At 34.2% G+C, this 24,081-nt stretch overlaps 2 long non-coding RNA genes across 3 annotated transcripts in view; one reads left to right on the top strand and one right to left on the bottom strand.

The window, feature by feature from the left end:
- Nucleotides 1-14,176, bottom strand: part of LINC02742 (long intergenic non-protein coding RNA 2742) — a 162,086-nt gene extending 147,910 nt beyond the window's left edge. The window contains exon 1 of the long non-coding RNA NR_183752.1: nt 14,044-14,176. This is a non-coding gene — a long non-coding RNA (long intergenic non-protein coding RNA 2742). The remainder of the gene's footprint in view (nt 1-14,043) is intronic.
- The window catches only part of LOC105376604 (uncharacterized), a 46,463-nt gene extending 24,617 nt beyond the window's left edge, over nt 1-21,846 (top strand). For both annotated transcript variants that reach the window (XR_931149.3, XR_007062637.1), the window contains exons 3-4: nt 10,039-10,109; nt 21,746-21,846. This is a non-coding gene — a long non-coding RNA (uncharacterized LOC105376604). The remainder of the gene's footprint in view (nt 1-10,038; nt 10,110-21,745) is intronic.
- The last annotated feature ends 2,235 nt before the right edge of the window (nt 21,847-24,081 follow it).

Genomic DNA, 24,081 nt, shown 5'->3' with positions numbered 1-24,081 from the left:
CTTTCCCCAGTGTATGTTTTGTCCCCTTTGTTGAAGATCAGTTGGTTGCAAGTATTTGCTTTTGTTTCTTGATTCTCTATTCTGTTCCATTAGTTTATGTGTCTATTTTAATACCAGTACCATGCTGTTTTCGTTACTATAGGCACATAGTACAATTTGAAGGTGGTTAATGTGATGCCTCCACGTTTGCTCTTTTTGCTTTGGATTGCTTTGGCTACTCAGGCTCTTATTTGGTTCCATATGAATTTTAGGCTTTTTTATCCTAATTCTGTGAAAAGTGACATTGGTATTTTGGTAGGAATTGAACTGAATCTGTAGATTACTTTGGGCAGTATGGTCATTTTCACAATATTGATTACTCCAATCCATGAGTAAGAGATGTTTTTCCACTTTGTGTCACCTAGATTTATTTCATCAGTGTTTTATAGTTCTCCTCATAGAGATTGTTCACCTCGTTAGTTAAGTATGCTCCTAGGCATTTTTTAGTAGCTACTGTAAAAGGGATTGAGTTCTTGATTTGATTCTCAGCTTGGTCATTGTTGGTGTATAGCAGTACTTTTGATTTGCATATACTGATTTTGTAAACTGAGACTTTATTAACTTACTAAATCTAGGACTCATGGAGGAGTCTTTAGGGTTTTCTACGTATAAGAGCATATCACCATCTAACAGAAATAGTTTGACTTCCTGTTTTCCAATTTAGATGATTTTTATTTTTCTCTTCCCTGATTGCTCTGGCTGGGATTTCCTGTACTATATTGAATAGAAATGGCGAAAGTGGACATCCTTGTTTTGATCCAGTTCTTAATGGGAATGCTTTCAACTTATCCTCACTTAGTCTAATGTTGGCTGTGGGTTTGTCATATATTGCTTTTATTATTTTGAGGTACAGAACATGCCATATACATTTAAATGCCTCATATATTTTGGAAAATATTTGACTTATTCACTATATTGATGTGGGCTATTTTCAAGGTAGAATTTAACAAGTGATATTAGGAACACATGACCCAGTACACTCAGAGTTACAAAGCCTAAAAATAAAGCCTATGTGAAGACACACAGGGAACTCACAGTATTGACTGTAGAAGGTATGATTTCCCAGAGAACTCCAAAAAACAAACACACTTGATTTCTTCAGCTTTTTGTTCTTCATGTTTTTAAAGTGGCAAACAAAGTGAATTTATTGGCATTTCCCTTATATTGATTCTTGTCAGACAGGAGTAGACCTTTTTCAGATAGCTTTATCCAATAGATAATTCCAAAATTAATTTTAAAATTAAATTATATATGCATATACTTTTGCTTATTAAATATATCTAATCATATGAAGAGTCATACCTTAATAATGAAAATAACTTAAAGCAACATAAATATGTATAAAAATACCAAGGAACCACAGCCTTATTAACACAGACTTAATCTGGAACAGTTGTGAAGCATTTTAGATGCTTTAGCCTAAGAAAAATTTCAGTAGGTTACTGTTTCATAAGAGAATAAAGAATTTTATGTTGGTAGTAGGGTCGTTTTTCCACAAAGGAATTAATATATTTAACTGAAAATTCTGTCCAAAAAACTTTGCCTCTGGTGAATATTTTCACCTAATTGTAATGTAATTAAACCCATGGACTTTGGAGTAAGGATGAGTTTTGGAAGTTCTCTTCCAAGTGAGAGACTAGCCAATCTCATTTTTCTCATTTGCATAATAAAGACAATTATGTCTGTTTTATAACTATATAGTGATATTCATTCCTTCACTCAACTAATATCTATTGAGTGTGCATTATATAATAGGCAGTATCTAGTAACAAACAAGATACACACAGGCTACTTCTACACTAAGCTTACCATTGATTAAAGGAGGTTTTATTAAAGTGTGTGATGAAGCACTTTGCACAGCATTTTACACATAATAATCAATAAATGTCAATTATTGATATTATTACTTCTTAAAGAAGTAATAGAGCATGCCATCCTAAAACAAAAGAAAAAGGGGGGTGGATGGTATGAATTTACCTATATTCATATGTATACATACACATACATTCATATACACAAATATATGTGTATACATACACATACTTTCATATACACAAATATATGTGTATACATACACCAAGATTTCCAAATACACAAACATTTCAATGATTCTGCAATATCCACTACAATTCTCTATTTTAAAAGTATAAAATTCAATTTAGCTTCTCTTAATATAGAGGCTTGGGATTCAAACTAATTTAATAAAGATTTTTAATGAAGTTGGAATAGTCAGTGACTCATAGGTCAGAAGTGGTGGCAGGTGACAGAGGGGAAGGCCTCAGGGGGAAAAGAGACTCTCAGTACCAGTTCCCTATTCAGAATGCCACAAGATATTATTTATTCCATTATTTTAACCTACAGCTGATGCACAAGTCACATTTTTCTACACTTATATACATGAAAGTAGTTATGTTTAAAGAATACCTGGAAAAAAAAACTTGCCAAGCACTCCCAAACCAAAACAATAAAAGGTTAATTTTTTTAAGAACTGTCTTATTCTGAGTCTTACCCTCTCTAATCTCCACTCCCCACCCCCGTAAGCCAGTTATAGAAGAAACTACAACCTCTTGTTTCATCAAGAACTATATAATGTTTATAATTTATAATTTAACCTAAAATTCTGTGTTATAAAAACAGTCATTTTGTCTCAATTTTAAGGTGCTTGTTGGTTGTCCTTAGTAATTTGAACAGCATAGAGTAAACAAGAAATATGTTTAAACCTATATTCTATTAATCAAAGATTTGTGTAGTTTTGTCTATCTTTATCAGAATTATATTCATTTACATATTGATGTGCAATGTGTAATAAGCAAGAATTCACTGGGCTATGATTTCAATACTTTAACTGTTGTAAGTTGAATAAAATATATTTTAAGGGTACAAACTATTTATTGCAATAATATATCTAAACCAAATAACCTACTTAAAAGCCTTCAGAGCCTAAATATTTAATAATAATAATAGCAATACAATAATCTCCTTGTGTAACCTGAATGTATTGAACAAAAGCCTCACTGGTATTGAAGTATAAGATCAGAAATTATTAGCATAAATAGGAAATAGTATATTAGGCCAACTAACATGAAACTATATAAAATGTAGTCAGAGACGATTATGAAATAATTGTGCCAGCCCTCTCATAAGAACAGCGATGCAGAATTAAATGGGTGGTTAATATTATAAGGTAAACTCTTAAGCTAGACATTGCTAAATTTATTTAGGCAATTTGGTTGCCAAACAAGACAAGATGTTATAAATACTTTTAAAAGAAATAAAAAGCAACTATAAATGTGGGTATTTGCAGTATAAGTCTACCCTATGAAAAGATGTCTGTAACAGATAGCATTCACTATAATCAAGAAGGAAAAAATATATACATATATAAATTAAACAGCCAGAAAGAATGGAGGGCATAGTACGTGGCACACATTTGACTAGATTCTGTAGGTGAATCAGAGCTAAGATATTTATTTTTCAATATATTCTGAGCACTTGCTAAGTGGCAGACATAGTGCTAAGCACTGAGTATATGGCAGGAAGCATAATAAAAGTCCTTTACCACTATGAGTCTGGTAAGACTGGTGAGTAAACAGGAAATTGAAATTTAATGAAATATATTCTGTAGTACCCGAAATTTAGTATACGGCAAAAGAGAAGTTTGCAAAATCTAGAAATCAGGAAAAGAGTTTCATGTACATTTGAAAAAGTTCAGATAGAAGATACGAGAACACAAATTTATCTGGGGCAAAGGTTAGAAGCTAATGTTTAAGGAGAAAAGACTAGCTAGGTAAAGTGTGGTAAGCTTATCAGAATATTATCCTTGACCAGAAAGTAGGAACTTTATGTTGCAGGCAAGTCAATCGTGAGACTGGCAGGTAGAAAACTTCATTTACTATTATAATATAGTGATTATCCAATGATAGAAAAACAGTGGAAAGGAAAGGAAAACTAGTGTGAAAGTATGTAGGTTAGGGTGTTGGAATCCTGGGCTCTTCACTTTAGTGAACGATGAAAAGGGGAAAAAATAGAATCCCAGAGATTTTTCAAAAGAAGAATCAAAAGACATAGTGACATATTGGATGCTGTAAGATGCCCGAGAGAAGAGTGAAAGGCAATTCTATAATTTGAGTTCAGGTCTCTAGAAGTATGAGAGTGCTACTGCCCATGGTTTTATCTAGAAAGAAAAGGTAGTTTGGGGAGCAAAATTCTGAATTCACTTGGAATGCACTGAATTTAAAATGATATCCACAAATCAATCCAGTCTATACTACTGCGAGTTGAGAATAAACACAGGAAGAAGGCATGCAGGAAACCAGGGCTGAAGATGTCATTTGGGAATTATCTGCATAGAAATCAGAAAGGAAACCATGAGTATATTCTAAGAACAGGAAAGGTTTGAGGTAGAAGCTTGAGTGCCCTCCCTTAAAGACTGAGAGAAGAAAAGGAAGTCATTAAAAACATAGAGAAAGAATGAGTAGCAGAATGGGAGAATCTATGCAACTTACCAACCAAAGCAGAAGAAAGATTCAAAAAGAAGGTGATTTCAAATATTAAATATTTAAGTGCTTCCAAAAAACCAAAACATCTAAAAAAAATAATAGCTAAGGTACAGTTCCTGGCTGTAGGGGCAAAGAGGTCACTGGTAATCTTTTGATAGTATTTTCAGGAGTTCATGAATTTGGAAGATAAATCTTATTTCACATAGTTAAAATGGAGCAAGTGGGTATGAACTAGAAGCAATGGAGAAGTCCCTTTCTTCAATATTTTGATGTAAATGGAAAGACTAAAATGTAGCCAGAAAAGTAGCAGGGTCAAGGAAGGTGGGTTCATTTTATGTTTTAATAATGCATATAGTTGAGTAAGTTTGGAAGCAACCTTTACGTTAAAGACAATCAGTTGGGCATCAAAGAAAAAAAAAGTGACTAAATTATTATTTCTACCTTCAAGGAGCTTACAGCTCCATGGACTTTTTTCCAAGTGCCTGAATCGAAACATGAGAGGATGAAGGTGAGGTAATGTGAGAGTGTTTTCAGTAAAATTCAGCTTTCAGCATAAATAAGAAGCAATTTTTCCACTAAGAACGAGGGAAAGAAAAATGGAGGATGGTTAAATGTTTTAAGTAGAAAATAATAACCAGGATAATAGCTTGGTGACATTTGAGAGGTGAATAAAAGGGTTGATGTGATGACAGGCATAATCATGATGAAACTCCAAAGAATGAATCTGCAATTTTCAAACTCTTGTGCATTTTCTTTCATCAGCAATCCCTGGCCTGACAGCAAAAGCAGAGTGAGTAGGCGGTAAGGATAATAGATATTTGAGGAATGATGTTTAGGGAATAAGCAGCATCTTTGAAGATTAAAAAGAGCATGTAGTGATCTAAAGTTAGATTACATACATAAATTAAAGTACAGGAATTCTAGTCCTATAAATGAAGTACCTTAAAGACTAATGATATAATAGGGTTAATATCATCAATACTAATTGACATCCATAACAAAAATGGAAGATACAACATGGTAGAAATATCAATGGCTTATTTCTGGTATGAATCTGGTCTGCTATTTAATAGAGAACTTGGGAAGAAACAAAAATAGCTTTCAGTTCTGCTTAAGAGGTGATACCTATTCTCATTAAAATGTTTCTTAGTTCTCACAGGGCAACTAATTCCATGGCTAAAAACAAACAGAAGTTAACTGTCTGTCAAAAGCTTAAAATGGGCCTTGATAACGCATCTTGACTTTCGCCCATGGTCCTCCTGGAGAAAGGCCACAGCCAGAATCCTCGATGCCAAGAAAAGTTATTGAAAGAATTCTCTTACTAACAGGGTCTTCCGGTACTGAAGTGCAGAATGACTCTATCACCCTTGTTCATTCACTTTGGTTCCAAACAAACTATACACAAAGCTCTACTCTGTGAAAAGAAAAAAATGAAGAATTTGGAGGGTAGAAAATATATCTCTCTTAGTTAGACATGTTTGATGGCAAAGAACAAAAGCACACAAAAATAAGTTAAAATTCAAAATGGATGTTTTTGTAGGTGTGCAATAGTTGATCACACATTCATTTTTGGCCAAGAAATGAAAGGAGCTGGACACCAGAGGGACTGAGCCAGGGAAATGGAAATTCACTAGTGGAAATTTCTTTCCTTCTCTCTCAGAATTATTTTCTCTTTCTGCTTCCTGCTGCATATCTTCTCCAAACTTCTCTTTCTCTCTGATAGCCAGTTTTCCTGCTATCCTTGAAAATGGTCTATCGTGAATAGAGGTCCAGCTCCCTAGTTAACTAATTTACATTATCTCTGTATAAATTCTCCATAGCTAGAAGAGATCATTTAAATGGCTTCCAGAGTTCTGGATGAACAGTTTCTTCAAGAAGGAATTTGGGTAAGGAAAATATTGAGCATTTCCAGCAGCATGGTCTAGAACTTTGATTTGCAATCCAGACCATGTCTAAATTACAGCAATTAACTCCAAAGTTGTATACAAAAACATTCTTGGATATCCCACACAACATCAACTAAAAGGTTTGCATGTATAAATTATGTTTAGCTGAGAATATGGGAGTATGTTATTCTGTGTTTCTCTGAATTGTCATGTAGAAATCTTGAGAATTAACCAGGAATTAATAAGCTGCAAATTGAGTGCACATCCTTTGAGATAGCTAACAATCTACTTTTCTGAGGATTCAAATTATGCTTTCCAATCAAGTATTATCACTATACATTTTAGGAACACCAAAATCAAGTCCTCAAGTGTGGCAAGCTAATATAACGAAAAATAATGGTTACCCATCAGTAGAAGAAACCAACAGAACATAGCAACATAAAAGTACTACAGACTTTTTCCAGCAGAGGTACTTGATTACCTTATGAATTGACAATCTGTCTCTACATTTCTAAGTTCCTACTTAAGTCAGACAAATTTAGCTCTCTTCAAGAAGGTATGACTTATTCCAAAACACTAATTTGTATGTAAGAAAAAGTTCTGCTACTACCATTGCCCCTTCTCAATTCTCATCCAAGCAAGGATGTTGTTTTAAATTGGATCCTCACACTTGAGTCAGATCTTTATAGGAACACAGCAAGACAGGAGACTTGTCCTGTGTGAATCATATCTTCAGCAACTGTGTTAACCTGTAAAGATGGCAACAAAATGATTGAGCATGTTATATTGAAACTACAGGTCAAATCCCTTAAAAAACTGATTTCAGATAAAGATTTTTTTAATCTTTAAATGTCCTTGCTTTGTATAAAATATTGTTCCAAGCAACTTCCATTAGCTATGACAGGAAATATTTGTATCACAGAAACATTTGGAATGTAACAGCTGATTGCAAACTTATAAGCATATGCTGTGGACTGAATTGTATATCCCCAAAATTCACGTGTTGAAGTCCTCGTTCTTGATGGGACTTTATTTGAAGACAAGGCTTTTAGGAGGAAAGTAAGGTTAAATGAGATAAATCATAAGGGTAGGGTCTTAATCCTATAATATCAATTGCCTCAGAAAAGGAGGAAGAGAGAGAACCCTCTCTCCAAATGCACATACTGAAGAAAGACCATGTGAATATACAACAAGAAGGGGATTGTCTACAAGCCAGGAAGAAAGCACTCACCAAAACCTGACCTTGCTGGTACCCTGATTCCAGATTTCCAGACTTTGGAACTATGAGAAATAAATTGGTTGTTTTAACCACGTAGTCTACAGTATTTTGTGATGGCAGCCCAAGCTAACTAATACACAACTCAGTTGCTCCAAAATCACAAAATTTGATGCTAATTACCAAAGAAGAGATCTTTAAGCATAAGGGAAATTATGAACTTGCAACTTCTATGATAGCTTTTAATTAATTAACCAATTCATCAATTATAATCGTGCTACATTTGGCTACTTTCGATATATTACTTTCTTGTAGATGCAGAATAAATGCTAAAATATAGCTACAAAGATAATTACATTTTGAACTGACACTTTATGAAAGTTATTTTGATTTATGAGAAACCCAATAGCTCTTAACTTGAGATAACTGAATTAATCATAAATTGATTTTATTATGGAATGATTAAGCTTGAGGATGAAGTCATCATTGCATTATTAATTTATATACTATGAAGACACAATTTATGTTTGTGATTTTTTAATTTACAAGTTCCAAATACCAATAAAGCCTGCTGCTAATTTGGGTCTTTGGTTTAGCACTTCAGTTGCCTCATTTTACGTAATGCCACCTAACTTTATTCAGAAGAGAATTTCTAAATATAAATAGAGAAGGTAATTTTAGAAATTTAATTAGTGATCCCTCCCACACCACTGATTAAGTTTGACTTCAGATCACTGATTTTCAAAAAATATTATCTAAAAATTCCATGAGCTAAAATGATTATTTATTTAATATCACATCCCTGTATGCTATATACTTTTTAAAAAAGTACAATCTCTGCTAGTTGTTTACACGAATGGAGTAATGAAAATGGATGTATCGCAGCTATATGGGTTGCTTTGAAATGGAGGATTTATTTCCAAGAGGGTATGATATTTCACTGAGGACCTATGATGTTACATGCAAAAGAAATAGGGAAAAAACATTTTTTAATTATATTATTTGAGATACTGAGGAAATATAAGTATTTTCCTGAGCTAGAAACCATTTAGGTAGAAGGCAACTCTATTTTTAGTTCTCTTTATTAAAAAGAAATGTAGTAGGCATAGAATGTTTAAAAATAATTATTACCCAATGGCATGTTAAGATATTATAGATCATAGGGTTTACCCCATATTATCCTTCAAAAGATAAAAAGAATATATTACACTCCTCCTTTCATACATTCAACAAAATATTTATTCTGTACCTACCAATTGTTAGGTTACATGCTAGGAATTGTAGAATGTATGATGATTAAAAATAGACTTGGTTTCTATGTTATTGTACTTGTGGTCTAGTGGAGGAGCATGCCACTAATAAAGTAATCACATTAGTCAATGTAAAATTACAGATGTGGCACATGCTGTGAAAAAAAATATATATGTTGTTGTAAGAGTGCTCTGGGCTAAAACAAAAGCACTGAATTATCCTGAAACAGAAAAGACCTCGAAGAGGTAACTGTCCAGAGCTAGAGAAATGAGAGAGAGCCTGGTAAAAGATGACATTTAGTGTTTTACTTTTATCCCAAAAGTAATAAAAACTCTTTGAAGCTTTTAAGTAAGTGGGGTAGATGATTGGAATAATTACATTTGCGTTTTAAAAATACGTGCAGTCTAGTGGAAGAAAGGTTGGATGCAGGCAGACCAGTTAGAAAATTATTTTGGAAGTCCAAAGGAGAGCTCTTGTTGCACAGACTGGAGTATTGCTATGAAAGTAGGAAGAAGTAGAGGGAAAATCAACAGAAGTTGATCAAAGGATTGAATATGTTCAAATCATTAAAACATATCTTGCTCCCATTAGATTACAATATCAGTGTTAAAATAGATTAAGAAAAAAAATCTACTCAGGCTATGATATAAAAACTTCTCCAGCTTTTTGTGCCAATGAAGTGAGCACTCTGCAATGTGGATTAAAAAAAACTTCAATATCAGTATTTCCAGACTTATAAGAATCCCAAATATAAATAGCCTATTCCTGGTTAATCATGATGCTGCTTTGTTCCAGAAGTCCTAGTATACAATATTCAAATGTAATTTTTGTCTCTGAATTCTCATTTAAATCTACTTCTGTAGAAGTAATCTCACATCCTGTGTAAAAATTATCACTAATTTGTCAGGTACTGCTTAGAGCTTATCATTTATAAGGGGACTGACATTTCACCAGGGGAAGACTACCCTTCGATAGTCAGGATTTCATGTTGCTAGGCAACCCAGCAAAGTAGCCCAGAAACATTTAAAAAAAATAGATTGTGTGTGCTAACCTCTACAAATGAGGACATATCCAAATATGAATTGAAATTCCCATATATTTTTAAGGAAACTCTCTAACTTATTCTATAATCCTTCTTGGTCTGCAGTGAGGATTGCTAATGTGAGATGAGAATCTACTCACAAACATTAAGAAGGTAACATGATGAGTGAAGTAAAGGTAAGTAATTTTCTCAACATATGAATCAATTTAAGCTTATAATTGAGATGATCTTCTTTTTAAAATAATAATTGTTACATAAATAATTTAAGACATGATATCAATTATTCACACCACCTGACTGATCTATTTTCCTAAAAATCAAAATTAAGCCCTCAATAATTTTTGTATGAGTGGTCTGACTATCAAAGGATTCTCCATGAATTCACAAAGATGAATTCTTCCATTCATTATGGAGTTGTTTAGTTTGACTTTTCCTCTGAAGGTAAAGCCTCCTAGAAAATCAGGGGAAATAATAAAACTGTCAGATGTCAAATTGGCTTTTCTGTCAACCCATTCCCCAGTGTCATTTTTCTTGGATTTGGATTTCATCTAAAGAATAAAATTTGAAATATGAATTTAAAACAGCAACACTAAATTCTTATTGCAAGGTCTTCAGGTATCAGTATATAGATATATATCTATAAATGCACAGATTATGTACCTGATGTACAAATATTTTCCATTTATTCCTTTAAAAAGAATAAAGTGTAGGCAATTCCATTTATCCAAGTTTTCTTATATTTGTTTCTTCTTCTGTGAACACCCACTTTCTGACAATGCTGTTGACAATGTCACCCCCAATATGACAGTTTTATTATTTTATTCAATCTGTGGTTTAGACAAATTCAGCATACTCTGAATTTAAACCAACTTCAGCTTAGAAATCTTAAGAGAAAATGCCATTTTTAGCAGAAAAACATTAAATAAAAGATCTTAGACAAAATATAAAATCAGAAGAGAGGCCAAGAATATTGACATTAAAAGCCTAATACCCTCTCTACTTTTGTATCAACTTTATTCCTTTTTTTTTTGAACTGTACATGCACTTATGTTTGCTTCTCCTTTCCTTTTGCAGATTTTTCCTTTAGTTTTTATAGTAACACTTGACTTACTGCATTTTGTTTCTTGATATTTAATCTTTGCTTGTTAAACAAAAATAGAATATGCATGAATATCTCTTCATTATAAAAGCAATATTTGTTCACTATATAAATGTGAAATATAGGGACAGGTAGTAGGAAGAAGTTATCTATTGTTCCAATACTTACAGATAACCAACCACGGACCTTTCTTACAATCTTAGAATGATGAGACTGAGAATTATTTCAAATATATGATCTCTTCTATAAAGACCAAAGAAATTCTACAATGCCCAAGCATTTTTAGAGGTAATGACCTTAAACAGGAAAATTAGAATTTTAGAACCGATTACCACTCATTTTACCAACGAAGAAACAAGTTCAGAATAACTAAATGACTTGCTAAGGTGAAACAGCTTTCACTGTCATGAGAAATGGATGATTATTCCCTGTATGTTTCCGCTGTCATCTGTCATTTTCAAGCATCAAATGTTTTCTTTCTTTTTCTTTTTTTTTTTTTAAAGATGGAGTCTCACTCTGTCACCAGCCTGGAGTGCAGTGGCGCAATCTCAGCTCACTGCAACCTCCGCCTCCTGGGTTCAAGCAATTGTCCTGCCTCAGCCTCCCCAACTAGCTGGGACTACACGCACACGCCACTACACCTGGCTAATTTTGTATTTTTAGTAGAGACAGGTTTCTCCATGTTGACCAGATCTCGAACTCCTGACCTCAGGTGATCTGCCCGCCTTGGCCTCCCAAGGTGCTGGAATTACAGGCTTGACCCACCGCTCCCAGCCTGTTTTCTATTCTTGACCAAAAAATAGAACCATCTAAACAAGTTGTCTATAACAGAGATTTCTGGGTTGCATAATTATTCAATGAATTAGTTTCTCAGGGAGAAACCCACATTTTCCCAAAAGTTACCAAGCAGCTGATGACCAGCAAGTTTTGCAAATCTGTTACAGACCAACTCTTTCTTCTTTCGTAACTTTCACGTTATATGTTGTCTCCCTTCTTTATATTCTCCATTCCATTTATATTCATTTAAGGCATTTATATTCATTCAGGCAGTGTGCTAGCTATAAAGGCAGACATATAGAAAATAAAGAAATTGACTCTGACCTTGAGGGTTGAGAAGTAGGGCATGGTGAGAAAATGAAAGAGAGGTAGACACCACTTAAACTAGTAACTACAAATTAAGTTCTATAATACAGTTATGAAGTGCTTTGTGAGTGTTGCTAGTTGAATTGTGTCTCCCCTCAGCAAAATATATTCAAGTCCTAAACCCCAGTACCTGTAAATGTGACTTTATTTGGAGACTGGGTGTTTGCAGATGTAATCAAGGTAAAATGAGATCATGCTGGATTATGGTGGACCCTAAATATGATGACTGGTGTCCTTTCAAGGAAACAGAGCTTCAGAAATACAGACAGCCACAGAAAGAAGGCCGTGCACAGACAGAGGCAGAAATTTGAGTGATTTGGCTACAAGCCAAAGAACTGCAAGGATTGCCGACAACACTAAAAGCTAGGAAAAGGAGAGGAGGCATTCTTGCCTAGAGCCTTCAGAAGGAGAATGGCCCTGTGCTATTTTGATTTCAGATGTTTAATTTCCAGAACTGGAGAGAATAGATTTCTGTTGTTCTAAACCACCCAGTTTGTGATGACTTGTTAAGGCAGGAAACTACTACAGTGAGTATCCGTTAAATGGCTTCATTTTGCAGGAAAACAAAAGATTGGAATGGTCAGTGAAACATATAAAAACCGTATAAATTAAACTGTCTTATATTTTGTAACTGCTAGAGCCAAGTCCTCTGGGAAAAATTAATCATATTAAATCTGTGTTTATCTTTGCCTATTTTTCACCAACATGAAACAAAACACAGAGGTATAAATATTTGCAATAAAATGTATTTTAAAATTCAGTAAATGCATACAAAATTCTTGAAATATATATATTTTTTACTATATAAAAGGCCCAAATAGTTTCAATTCTTAATGATACAGAAGACTATACTCAATTATGTTACAGAAATTTATCTCTCACATATATAGATTATATTTTCTTTGGGGAATTTTCAGAGATATTTTAGGAACCCCTAACAATGAATAAAAACAACAGACTGTGTACCCTGCAGCATCCTGGCCTAAATCACACAGCTACTAATGTCAAGATCTCTCAAAAAGAGAGAAGATTCTAGCATAGGGAAAATGAAAAAAGAATGATACCAAATACAAAAAAAAGAGCTAAGAAATGAACGTGTAAGGAAAAGATAAGCCCAACTTTAGGAATGAAACCTTTGGACCAAGATAAGAAAATATAGGCTAATGTTGGATTCCTATTTATCACCTAAATTAAATAAAATATGGGGCTCTTAGCCATAAACTCTCATCTTAGGAGATAAAAGTAGAGAAAGTGGAAAGAAAGATCTATTAAAAAGATACCAACAAAAACTAGAAGGAAACTGAATTCAGATGCAGTTGCCCCAGTTTGTAACAAGCAGCCTAACCCTTTATATAGAAACCTGTGTTGGGTGTCTTTCTTATTTTATTTTGTTTTGTTTCACCCTTGAACTAGAAACTGAACTTATAAATGTAGTATAACCAGATTTATAAACTGTAGATAAATACTACACATGGAAATATGAAACAGCTACTATAATTACACAAATATATGAATAACAGTAGTAGCTGCTGTTGCATTTTCTAACCCAACTTCTCTGCCTTCCCTCTTTCCTCAGAGGGACTCCATCTGATAACCATAATGAAATAAACATAGATGATCATTGCCATCATAAGCTAGCACATGTGCTCTTGCTATATATCAAATTTTACTCTAATTTATTTATATATACCATCGATTTTATCTTCCTATTAATAATAGAATAGATATACCAATATTACACATGGAAAACTGAGGTTCAGGGAGCTTAAATGAGTTGCCTCAACATCCCTCACTGGTAAATGAAAGAGTTAGAATTCAAACCCAGGTAAGTCTAACACAACAGCTCATGTTATTAACCACTGACTTACACAGTTTCCCTTTGCCTTCATTTTCTGTATCCTCATTTTAAATTGACACAAAAGTAGAGCCTGTGATATTCTGTAGACTGGACGGTTATAACGTCCAAAATGGGGGAAAAATCTCCTTACGATGCTTTGCCCAATCACTTGCGAGATTCTCTCAAATACTTTGTGGGTGGAGCCATCAAAACCTTGGGCCTGGTCAGTCTCTTCTAACATTACCCAAAAGGGTGAGAAAGTGGGAAGAAGCAGAAATTTCTCACGACATCCTAAACTTACAGGTGAAGAATCTGGCTTGCTAATGCCCCAGGTTCAAACCTTGAATGCCTATACTTTGAATGGATAAAGATGTATCAAAGCGAAAGAACAGCTTTCAAACCAAGAAGGAGAGACAACTCAACCAGTCGATGAAGGAGGAAAATCAGAGAGAAATTAGGGAGCTGCTAATAAGAGGTCCAATTGTCTTCCTACTCCCCTTAGTCAAAAATTGATTTTATGCATGTATGAATGGGGAAGAACAGATAGTTAGAAATCTTCATAGGCCTGATGGTGCCTTATGCTTGGTAGAAAAGGGCAGGTGGGATCTGGGCAGTCTGCTGCTTTGATTGCTCTTTCTGCCCTCACAATCTATCAAGAAGACAGAGCCATCCCAGAGGGAGAGTAGAGAAAGAAACCAATGACTAGCCAATATTTTATTAATTTTAATTGTCACTATACAAACGAGCATTTGAATTTATTTTAGAAAAAAGATAAAGACAGAGAACAGCAAAAGGAAGATAATTTTTTAAATAATTCCTTATAAGAGGGATGACTATTTTAACATCATAATAGTTTTTTTCTTTTCTATTCATTTGCCTCTAATATATCGAATGCGATTATAACTGGCTAATTTCTCTATGACTGTATATTTACATATCATATATGTCTGACTATAAATAAATATACTTATTTCTACAAAAGTAGAGTTATATATACCACATAGTTTTCTGTAACCTCATTTTCCCTCTTAGCAGCATAATATGAACTTTTTCTATATCAACAACATAAATTTGTGAAACTTAAATTACGAAAATTTGTGGTACAGATTAGTATTAACATATTTAAAATCATCTTGTAAGAAATTTTAATTATTTTATTTATTCTATTAAAAATAATATTGCAATGAATATGCTTATTTGTCTGATTAATTCCTTGGGTAAGATTTCTAGAATTATATTTTGGTTCAAAGAGTATGTCATCTTTTGATATGTGTTTCTTTCTGGGAATGTTGTACTGGTTTACTCCCACAAGCAATATATGAAGATACCCATTTTCCAACACCCTCGCCCACACTAGGCCTGGTTAATGGCATATTTTAAAACTATTTTATGGTATGATACTTATGTGTAGGATGGAAACTCTAGTATTAAGTGTCAATGTTGAGATTATTCCCTTATTGAGTGAAACAATGAAACCAATTATTTACTGCTTGATAAAGAATAGATTTTCTGAAGAATATTAGCAATTAATGGTAGATTATATTAAGGACGTGAATATTAATAATTATGGTAGATTACCATAAATGTTCGTGCTTTCAAAATATTCTTGGATTAACAGCATCAGAAATTTTAGTTTTAATGACTTGAATTATTTATTAACTTTCCCATTATTAGCATAATATAAACCAGTATCATTTTATAGCCAAAAAAATAATTAATCTGCACCACAGTTCCTCTTTTGTGAGTCATCAAATACCACCTACCTGTGACAAGTTTCATGAGCCATTAGAAGGGATTTTCCATTCTCTGCAATGGATCACTGACACACAGTAAAATGTGTACAAATTAGTTTTACTTTTCCAGACAAATAATTATATTTATTTTTAAGGTAGGTTATAGTTGAAAGAGCCACAGGAAACTCTGTGTCCTTGCTTCCCTTTCACGCGTATGGACTCATATTCCATGATTGAAAGGTAAGCCATATTTTTTTTCTCTAACTTTAAAAGATAAGGAAGAAAAAGCTCACCCCATTTAATATGCTAAGTGTAGTCATTAAGTGTTTCTCAGTTGCTCAAGATCAGTAAAAGAATAAACATATTCTGTACATTATACAGGCAAAGCTACAACTCAGTCTCAATGTTCCCCATGTTCATGGGTGATGCATATGCTGCCTCAGGTTCATCCAAGCAAAGAGACCCACCAATGAGCTCTTTGCCTAATTTTGCTTTGAGTCACTGCCATAAAATTACTAACATTTTAGAACAAAATAATTCTATTTTAAGTATATTCTGAATAGTACTTTATTTTGTTTAAGGTTATGTTTTTAGTGGCAGTTGAAACAGTTTTGCCTTAACTGTGAATTTAGGAAAAGTTAAAAAGTCCCAAACAAGTCCTCCAAAAAGTCTCCAAAACAAGAATGCCAAGAAAAGTAATTCAATATATGAAGCTAAATGGAAGTTCTACCTCCCTGAACAACATCATTTCTTACATGTTGCTCATACCAATCCTGATTAAGAAACAGTTTGGGACTAGTTAAGCCTGGAAAAGTAAGTGATGTGTGTATGGCATTTCTGGAAACTTTCTTCTTTCCTTTTGTTGTTGTTTTTTTTACCATAAGAATGTAATGTTTAAAGGCTTTCTTAATTTTTTCTAAAATGATGTTTCAAAATATCAGATTGCACCAGTTATATACAGGCCCCCACACCTATGTTGGTAGAACTTTGAGCTAGAAATTACACCTAAATTCTTTAACCCAGTGAGCTCCCACCCCCAGGGAAAAATCAGAAAATTGTCTGCATGAGAATTTTTTCCTTTTACAATTAGTTAATAGTTAATATCTTAGAATCTACTGACAATGACTGAGGCTGATATAAAATAATGTGAAATTATATCAAATATATCATTTTTGGGCATTGTTAGTATTAACTGGCCACTTAGTTGGACAGTTGGGCAGATGGGTAGATGCATCAACTATTAGGATCATTATAGCAATCAAGATCATTCCAAACAACGCACAGAATAGAAAGACCATTGGATCTACAGTCAAAAAAGCCTCGATTTAAATTTAAGCATTTACTAAATGTGCAACTTGGCTAATTCCGGAATCATCATAATAATGGGTGCACAATTATTTGTTGCATAAATGATTGACCAATTCCCACTAATTCAAGAATTGACAGATTCTTCATTCTGTTGTACTGAATGTGAACGGACTAAAAGATAATTTTGTTTTTTCTCAAGTTACTGACATATTTTTCTTCTTTTCTTGCTTTTTTTAAATTTTTTTTTAAATTTTTAACTTTTTTTTTTTTTTTTTTTTTTTTTTTTTTTTTTTTTGAAACAAAGTCTAGCTCTGTCGCCCAGGCTGGAGTGCAGTGGCACGATCTTGGCTCACTGCAAGCTCCGCCTCCCGGGTTCACGCCATTTTCCAACCTCAGCCTCCGGAGTAGCTGGGGCTACAGGTGCCCGCCACCACGCCCGGGTACTTTTTATATTTTTAGTAGAGACGGGGTTTCACCGTGTTAGCCAGAATGGTCTCGATCTCCTCACCTCGTGATCCGCCTGCCTCGGCCTCCCAAAGTGCTGGGATTACAGGCGTGAGCTACCACGCCCGGCCTTTTCTTGCTTTCTTAAGGAAATTTTAAGTTTGCATGCCGATCTACTGAATGCTTTGGAAAATTGATGCCTGAAATTAAACATTTTTCCCATCATTTCACCTATGCCAAAGAAGAACAACCAAGAGGAAAATAATTGGACTTCATTGTTATTATGCAAGCCCAGATACTCTGCTTTCTGCTTCCTAATTAAATACCTAAGCAGTGAAAGTCTTCATGGTCCTTCATTCCTTGAGGACTGCCATAACATAAAGTATAGTCAGTGTTCCTTAAATCCTCCTATATAAGAAGAGAAAGGGAAAGTTTCTGGAAACGTGACCTTATTTAGGCTAGAGAAAGCATATGGTGGCAAAAACCTACACTTACATACACTTTTTTCCTTTTCATTTTTGTACCCTCCCAAAGCATATTTGGCAGATAAACCTTTCACGCCTATGGCAAGTCACACATGTTGGCTCACTCAACACCCATTTCAAACCACTTTTCCTTGCCTCCCTCTATTTTGTCATCCCAGGTTTCCCTAAACCTAGGGGTGACACAGCTATAGTCAATAAAGCATAGGATAAGATTGCTGGGCAACTCTTTCCTCTTTCCTTCTCTATTCCTATAACTTTGGCTAAATCCTCACAGAAGCAACAACCACCTTTCAGCCAGAAGGACAAAAACCACACCTTAAGGACAGCAAGAGCTGAGTTAGCCAGAATTCTTGATGATGTTGTTGTGATACGTACATTTCTGAGTTGTTTTTGTTATGACAAACATAAAGCACTTACTTCTTTAACCCACTAAAGAAGGATTTCTTCACTTGCCTTTGAATGTATCAATGATACAGTCTGACTTCTAGTCTTCTCTCTGAGATGCTTTCTGTGATGTCCCAAGTCAGATACAGCCATTTTTATTCTATGCTGTTCCCATATAACTTTTTGCATACAGTTTTTCAATAAAAAAGTTTTCATTGAAGTATAAACAAAGGTACATAAAATAAAGGACACAGCTTGATGAGCTATTATAAATAGTGAACACAGACTTGCAACCAAGTCAAGAACTAGAATATCTGCAGAAACCCAGAGTGCCGCCTCGTGCCCCCTCCTAGTCAATACCCTTTTCCTTCCCTAAAAGTAATTTAACTTTCGCCACCAGATTCGGTTTTTCTGTTTTCTTAAATTTATATAAATAATGTCACGCAGTATATATTATTTTGTATCTGGAGTCTTTAGGAAAAAAATACATTTATTAAATTCATCTGGGTTGCTTTATGTAGCAGTAATTCATTAATTTTCCCTGTTGTTTGATATTTCATAGTATAAATATATCACAATTTATTTACTCAATTTACTTTTAGTTGATACTGGACTCTTTCCAGACCTTAGAAATTAAGAATAATACTTATATAAACATTCTCATTATGGCTTTTGGTGCACATATGCACAAGTTTCTGTTGGGCTTATACATAGGAGTAGAATTACTAGGTCATAGGCTGTGCATATGTTTAACAGTATTACCAAACACTTTTACAAAGTGCTTGTACAAATAAGGCACCCATGAAAATTCCAGCAGCTCTACACATACAACAATATTGGCTATTTCAGCAAATTTTATTTTAGCCATTCTTATTGGTATGAAGTACATTTTCACTATGGCTTACTGTTGCATTTCCCTGACTATGAATGAGTCAAACTATTTTATATGTATCTTGGTGGCAATTCAGATATCCTCCCTGATGAAGTGATTGTTGAAGCCTTTTGCCCATTTATCAATTTTAAAATTGAACTGTGTCTTTTTCCTTGTTGATTTGGAGAAGTCGTTGCACATTCTGGATAAAAATGCTTTTCAGTAATATGTAATATAGATAATTTCTCCTACTCTGTGGACTATCTTTTCACTTTCTTAATGGTGATCCTATTTTTAAGGTAGTCTAGTTTATTAATGTTCTTTTATGGTTAAAGCTTTTATGTTCTGCCTAATAAATATTTTTTCTGCTTTAAAATATGAAGGTTATCTTCTGGAAGCCTACTGTTTTACCTTTCAGAGTTTGGTCTACAACACACCTAAACTGATGTTTGTGTATGGTATGAGGTAAAAGTCACTATTCAGTTTTTGAATATGGATATTAAAAAGCATTGTTTTTTTCTTAATGATGCAATATGTAGCATCTTAGATTGAATGAAAAATGGTAATATTCTAAATTAGCAATATTATTTGCAATAATATAATACAGCATAGCATACAAAATTGATTAAAAGTTGTGAAAGAGATGGTATATTTAAAAAGCAAAAATCATCACATTTTTAAAATAGAAGAAATGACTTTAAAGTAATTTAATAAATTAGATATATTAATAGGAATTCATGAGTTTTAATAAATGTTCCCAGCTCCATTAACTAATCTAATATATACTCCTAGAATACAGAATGTATACTTCTAATACTATTATTCACTAACAGCGAATAATGTGAATAGTTAGGATCCATGTTTTGGACACGGAAAATCAAGTTGTGCCTGGAATAACTTGATGCTAGACTGCCAGCATGCTTTCAAAGATAGCTGAAATCATGCTAAAGAGGACTATGGTCCTAACTAAAAAAATAAAAGCAAAGATAATTGTTAGAGTTCATTGGGCAGAGTTAAACCTTTGAAGTGCTGTGAGTCCATAATATTACTCGAAGGGCAAAAAATATAAATTATAATAATGTCAAGTCACAAGAGTTATAAATATTTTAATGTTCTAAATAACCCAAGTTCTTTGAATGCAATCTTTACGGTTTTTGTTTGGTTGTTGTTGTTTTTTGAGACAGAGTCTCACTGTGTTCCCCAGGCTGGAGTTCAATGGTACAATCTCAGCTCACTGCAACCCCAACCTCCCGGGTTCAAGCAATTCTTGTGCCTCAGCCTCCCAAGTAGCTGGGACTACAGACATGCGCCATCACACCTGTCTAATTTTTGCATTTTTTTATAGAGACTGCATTTCACCATGTTGGCCAGGCTGGTCTAGAACTCCTGGCCTCAAGTGATCCATCCATCTCAGCCTCCCAAAGTGCTGGAATTACAGGTGTGAGCCACTGCACTCAGCCCATCTTTGTTTTTATCAGAGCCTATCTTAACTATGTTGACATACGTGATAACTATAGCAACAAGTAAATGTTAACACACATATTCAGAATTATCCAAATATGCTTATATTCTTGTCAACAGTAGATAAAAAATTTTATTAAAATAAATTGGTTGTCCAGAGAGTTGAAAGGTAAGAGGAAATAAAAGACAAAGAGAAATTTTCGTTGCAGACTGAGCATCACCTAAAACAGAAGTCTTCAAAATGTGGTATCCCAACCAGCATCATCAGCATCACCTGATTAATTTGTTTAAAATGCAAGTTCTCAGCCCCTAGACCTACTGAAGCAGAACATATGGAGGTGGCATTCAGCAATCTGTATTTTTAAAACACTCCCAGTGATTCTAATGTGCATTACTATTTGAGAACCACTGATCTAATGACACCATTTAAATTATTGCACCTGCCTGAGCTTTATAGCTTAATTGTGTTGGATATATAACACTGACTCCCTTATCAGAGGAATTTGACAGATTATAGATCAAATTTTAAAAACCTACATTTTTCTCTGTACTACTAAGTTAGCACTAGGTATTTTGACACTCCACTGGACCCCAAAGTGCTAGAATGTGAATTGAAATCCAGATACTTCTTAATACAAGACTGCACTTCTTACTATGCCATTCTCTTTTTTTTTCCTAAAATTTATTCTAGCTCTTTCCACAAAGAAAAAGAAGAAAGTAATTTCCTAAGATGAGCATCTCTCATATCTTAGGATCTATCTATATGATATTTCTAATCTTTATAATCACATATATAAAGATGAGATGCAAAGAAGCTGAAATGCAGTTAGGTTAAATATATCACCCAAAGCCACACTGCAAGCAAGGGCAGAAGTGGGATTCCACGCCCAGTTTTCCTGGACCCATAGACTATTTACTTCCCACTCACATGCTCGTTTCTCAATATCATACGCTTCTAATATGTACACCACAAGTGCTCAATAAAAGTTTATTGGGTGAATGGTAAGTCAATGAATGACCTGAATTTCCCTGTTACTGCATTTTCAGGGGCTGCTACTAAGAGAAAGCATGCTCTCAGATAACCGTTTTCAGATAACGTCGAGAAAGTGAGAGTATACACAGATCAACATGATGGTCCACTTAACGGGGGAAGAGAGTAAAATGTTGGTGTCACTGACAAGGATGGCAACATTTAAATGTTCAGATCCTTACAGGAGAAGCATTGCAGTCACTTGACAATCTCAAGCTATGTGTTTCTTCAGTGCTTCTTGAAAACATTTATAATACAGAAGATGGTTTTAAAAAATGTATAACTTTTTCAATGAAAATGTGAATTTCAACACCTTAAAAAGCATATTATACTACTGTGAAGTGCTCATGGTTCATTTTATTTAACTCACCTTCTAGATAACTTCTTAGAAAAATAGGACTCAATTTAATTTTAAAATCATTTTAAAATTACATGAAATGACATAAGGAGATGAATGCAATAGTTGCTAATGTTTCTTGGAGGAGTCATGGGGCAAAGAAGAGAAAGAAACAGATTAAAACATTTTAGACATTTGTTATTTGAATAGCAGCAGGAATGGAAAACACATAGGGGTAACATTTTAAAGCTGTGTGTGGGAGGCACTTGCACAAAATATTTTGTCAACAGGATTTCTGCGTACACCTCTCACACACTGCTTAGGAAATTTACCCCAGAATAGAGATTCTCGACTTTTTTTTCCCTTGCAAGCTGTCTAGCCTATGTAATTAAAGTCCGCCAGCAAAATAGTATTCAGGTGCTGACAAAATTGATAGGTCCTGAGCCTTTGCCATAGAGGAACAAAGCTAGGCATTTTCATTTCAGTCAACTGTAGTTGTGAAAAACCATCTCTTTAATCTGCCTCCTAGAGCAATCTCCACCACTTTTTGTAACAATAAGTTTTATTATAAATAAGTTTTCTTAGTAGAAAACTTAGTAGTTTTCTACTAAGTTCCTCTGCTAGCTCCAAATGACATTTTCCGTCTATTTTGCTGATAGACATTCACTCTCTCCAAGCACATTTGTTAATATTTGATCAGATGCATGATAACATCTTGAACTTTTATTCATGGTAATAATTAAAAATCATGTTAAAGTTCTCTAAAAGAGCACAATGTGAGGCAGAATCTGTTGTGAGATGCTAAGAATCACTGATTTTCTCTTTATTTATAAGTATGTCACTTGCATGTCTCATGCCATTACCATGTGTGTAATTATCAGGTCATATTAACATTCAGACACAAATTTGCAGATCAATTAACTCAAATATTATTATATAAGATTCACTGCGCCACATTCCCAAACCCTCTCTGCAAAGTCTGTCTCAGTTATTTCATGGCATATGCAGTGACTATCTTACCTTTCCTCCAGAAAAATTGCAACCATGATACCAGACCACTGGAGATGACCTCTGTACTCAAGGCAGTAGGGGCACTTGACACTTTGACTACTGCTGGTGCTCTCCATAAAATTGCAAATTGCTGCCTATGATGTCTCTTCTCAACACAGGCAAATGTGCAAAAACCCTTGTTCAGTAGTTCTATTTCCTCTATCTTTACCAAAAATTGAAAGTTACCTAACTCTTCACTAAAACAGGGATAACATTACTTCCCATTGACTATGTCAGAGACTGTTTGACTCTAGATCAGCACTGCTTACCCCAAATCTCACAATGTTCCTCTGCACACAGCTCCTTTGACTTCGACATGCAACTCATGTTTCTCTGGTCTTTCAAATTTAGAATTTTCAGTCAATATGGGAAGAAAATGTCTTCCATTGGCCCAGACCATGATTAACAAACTTTTCTTCAAAAGTCATTCCTATCACACACAAAAATTAACTTGAGATATGGATAATCAAGTGGTTTAACCTCCAAACTAAGGCATTTTTCTTTGGTAACAAGGATAATAGTTGTATTAGGACCATTGGTATAAACCAGAATTGACCCAGGTATACTAGAATGGATGGTCACTTTACCTCTAGGCTGCTAACTTTGTTTCCAATTTCATCTTACCCTTCAGAAAGTTCGCATCCTGCTATTAACACATTTATTTGTTAGGACAATAGCATTTGTTGACTGCATACAATATCAGAACTCTAGGTTAGAAGATAAAAACTTGAGCAGGATATGGCTCCTATTTTGATAGACCAAACACAGAATCTAGTGGAGAATTACAGAATATTTTTAAATCAATAAAAACAATGACAATAAATAGCTAATTATGATAATAAATTAAAAAGATAATCATTAATTCAGGCACAAGGGGAACTTAACTTACTGGCCTGTTTCTATGTGTGTGTGTGTGTGTGTGTGTGTGTGTGTGTGTGTGTGTGTGTGTACAGGGAGGGAGCAGTG

Source organism: Homo sapiens, chromosome 11 (assembly GCF_000001405.40).
Source record: "Homo sapiens chromosome 11, GRCh38.p14 Primary Assembly".
In the NCBI taxonomy this organism is placed as follows: Eukaryota; Metazoa; Chordata; class Mammalia; order Primates; family Hominidae; genus Homo; species Homo sapiens.
This window is presented reverse-complemented; position numbering and strand designations above follow the sequence as displayed.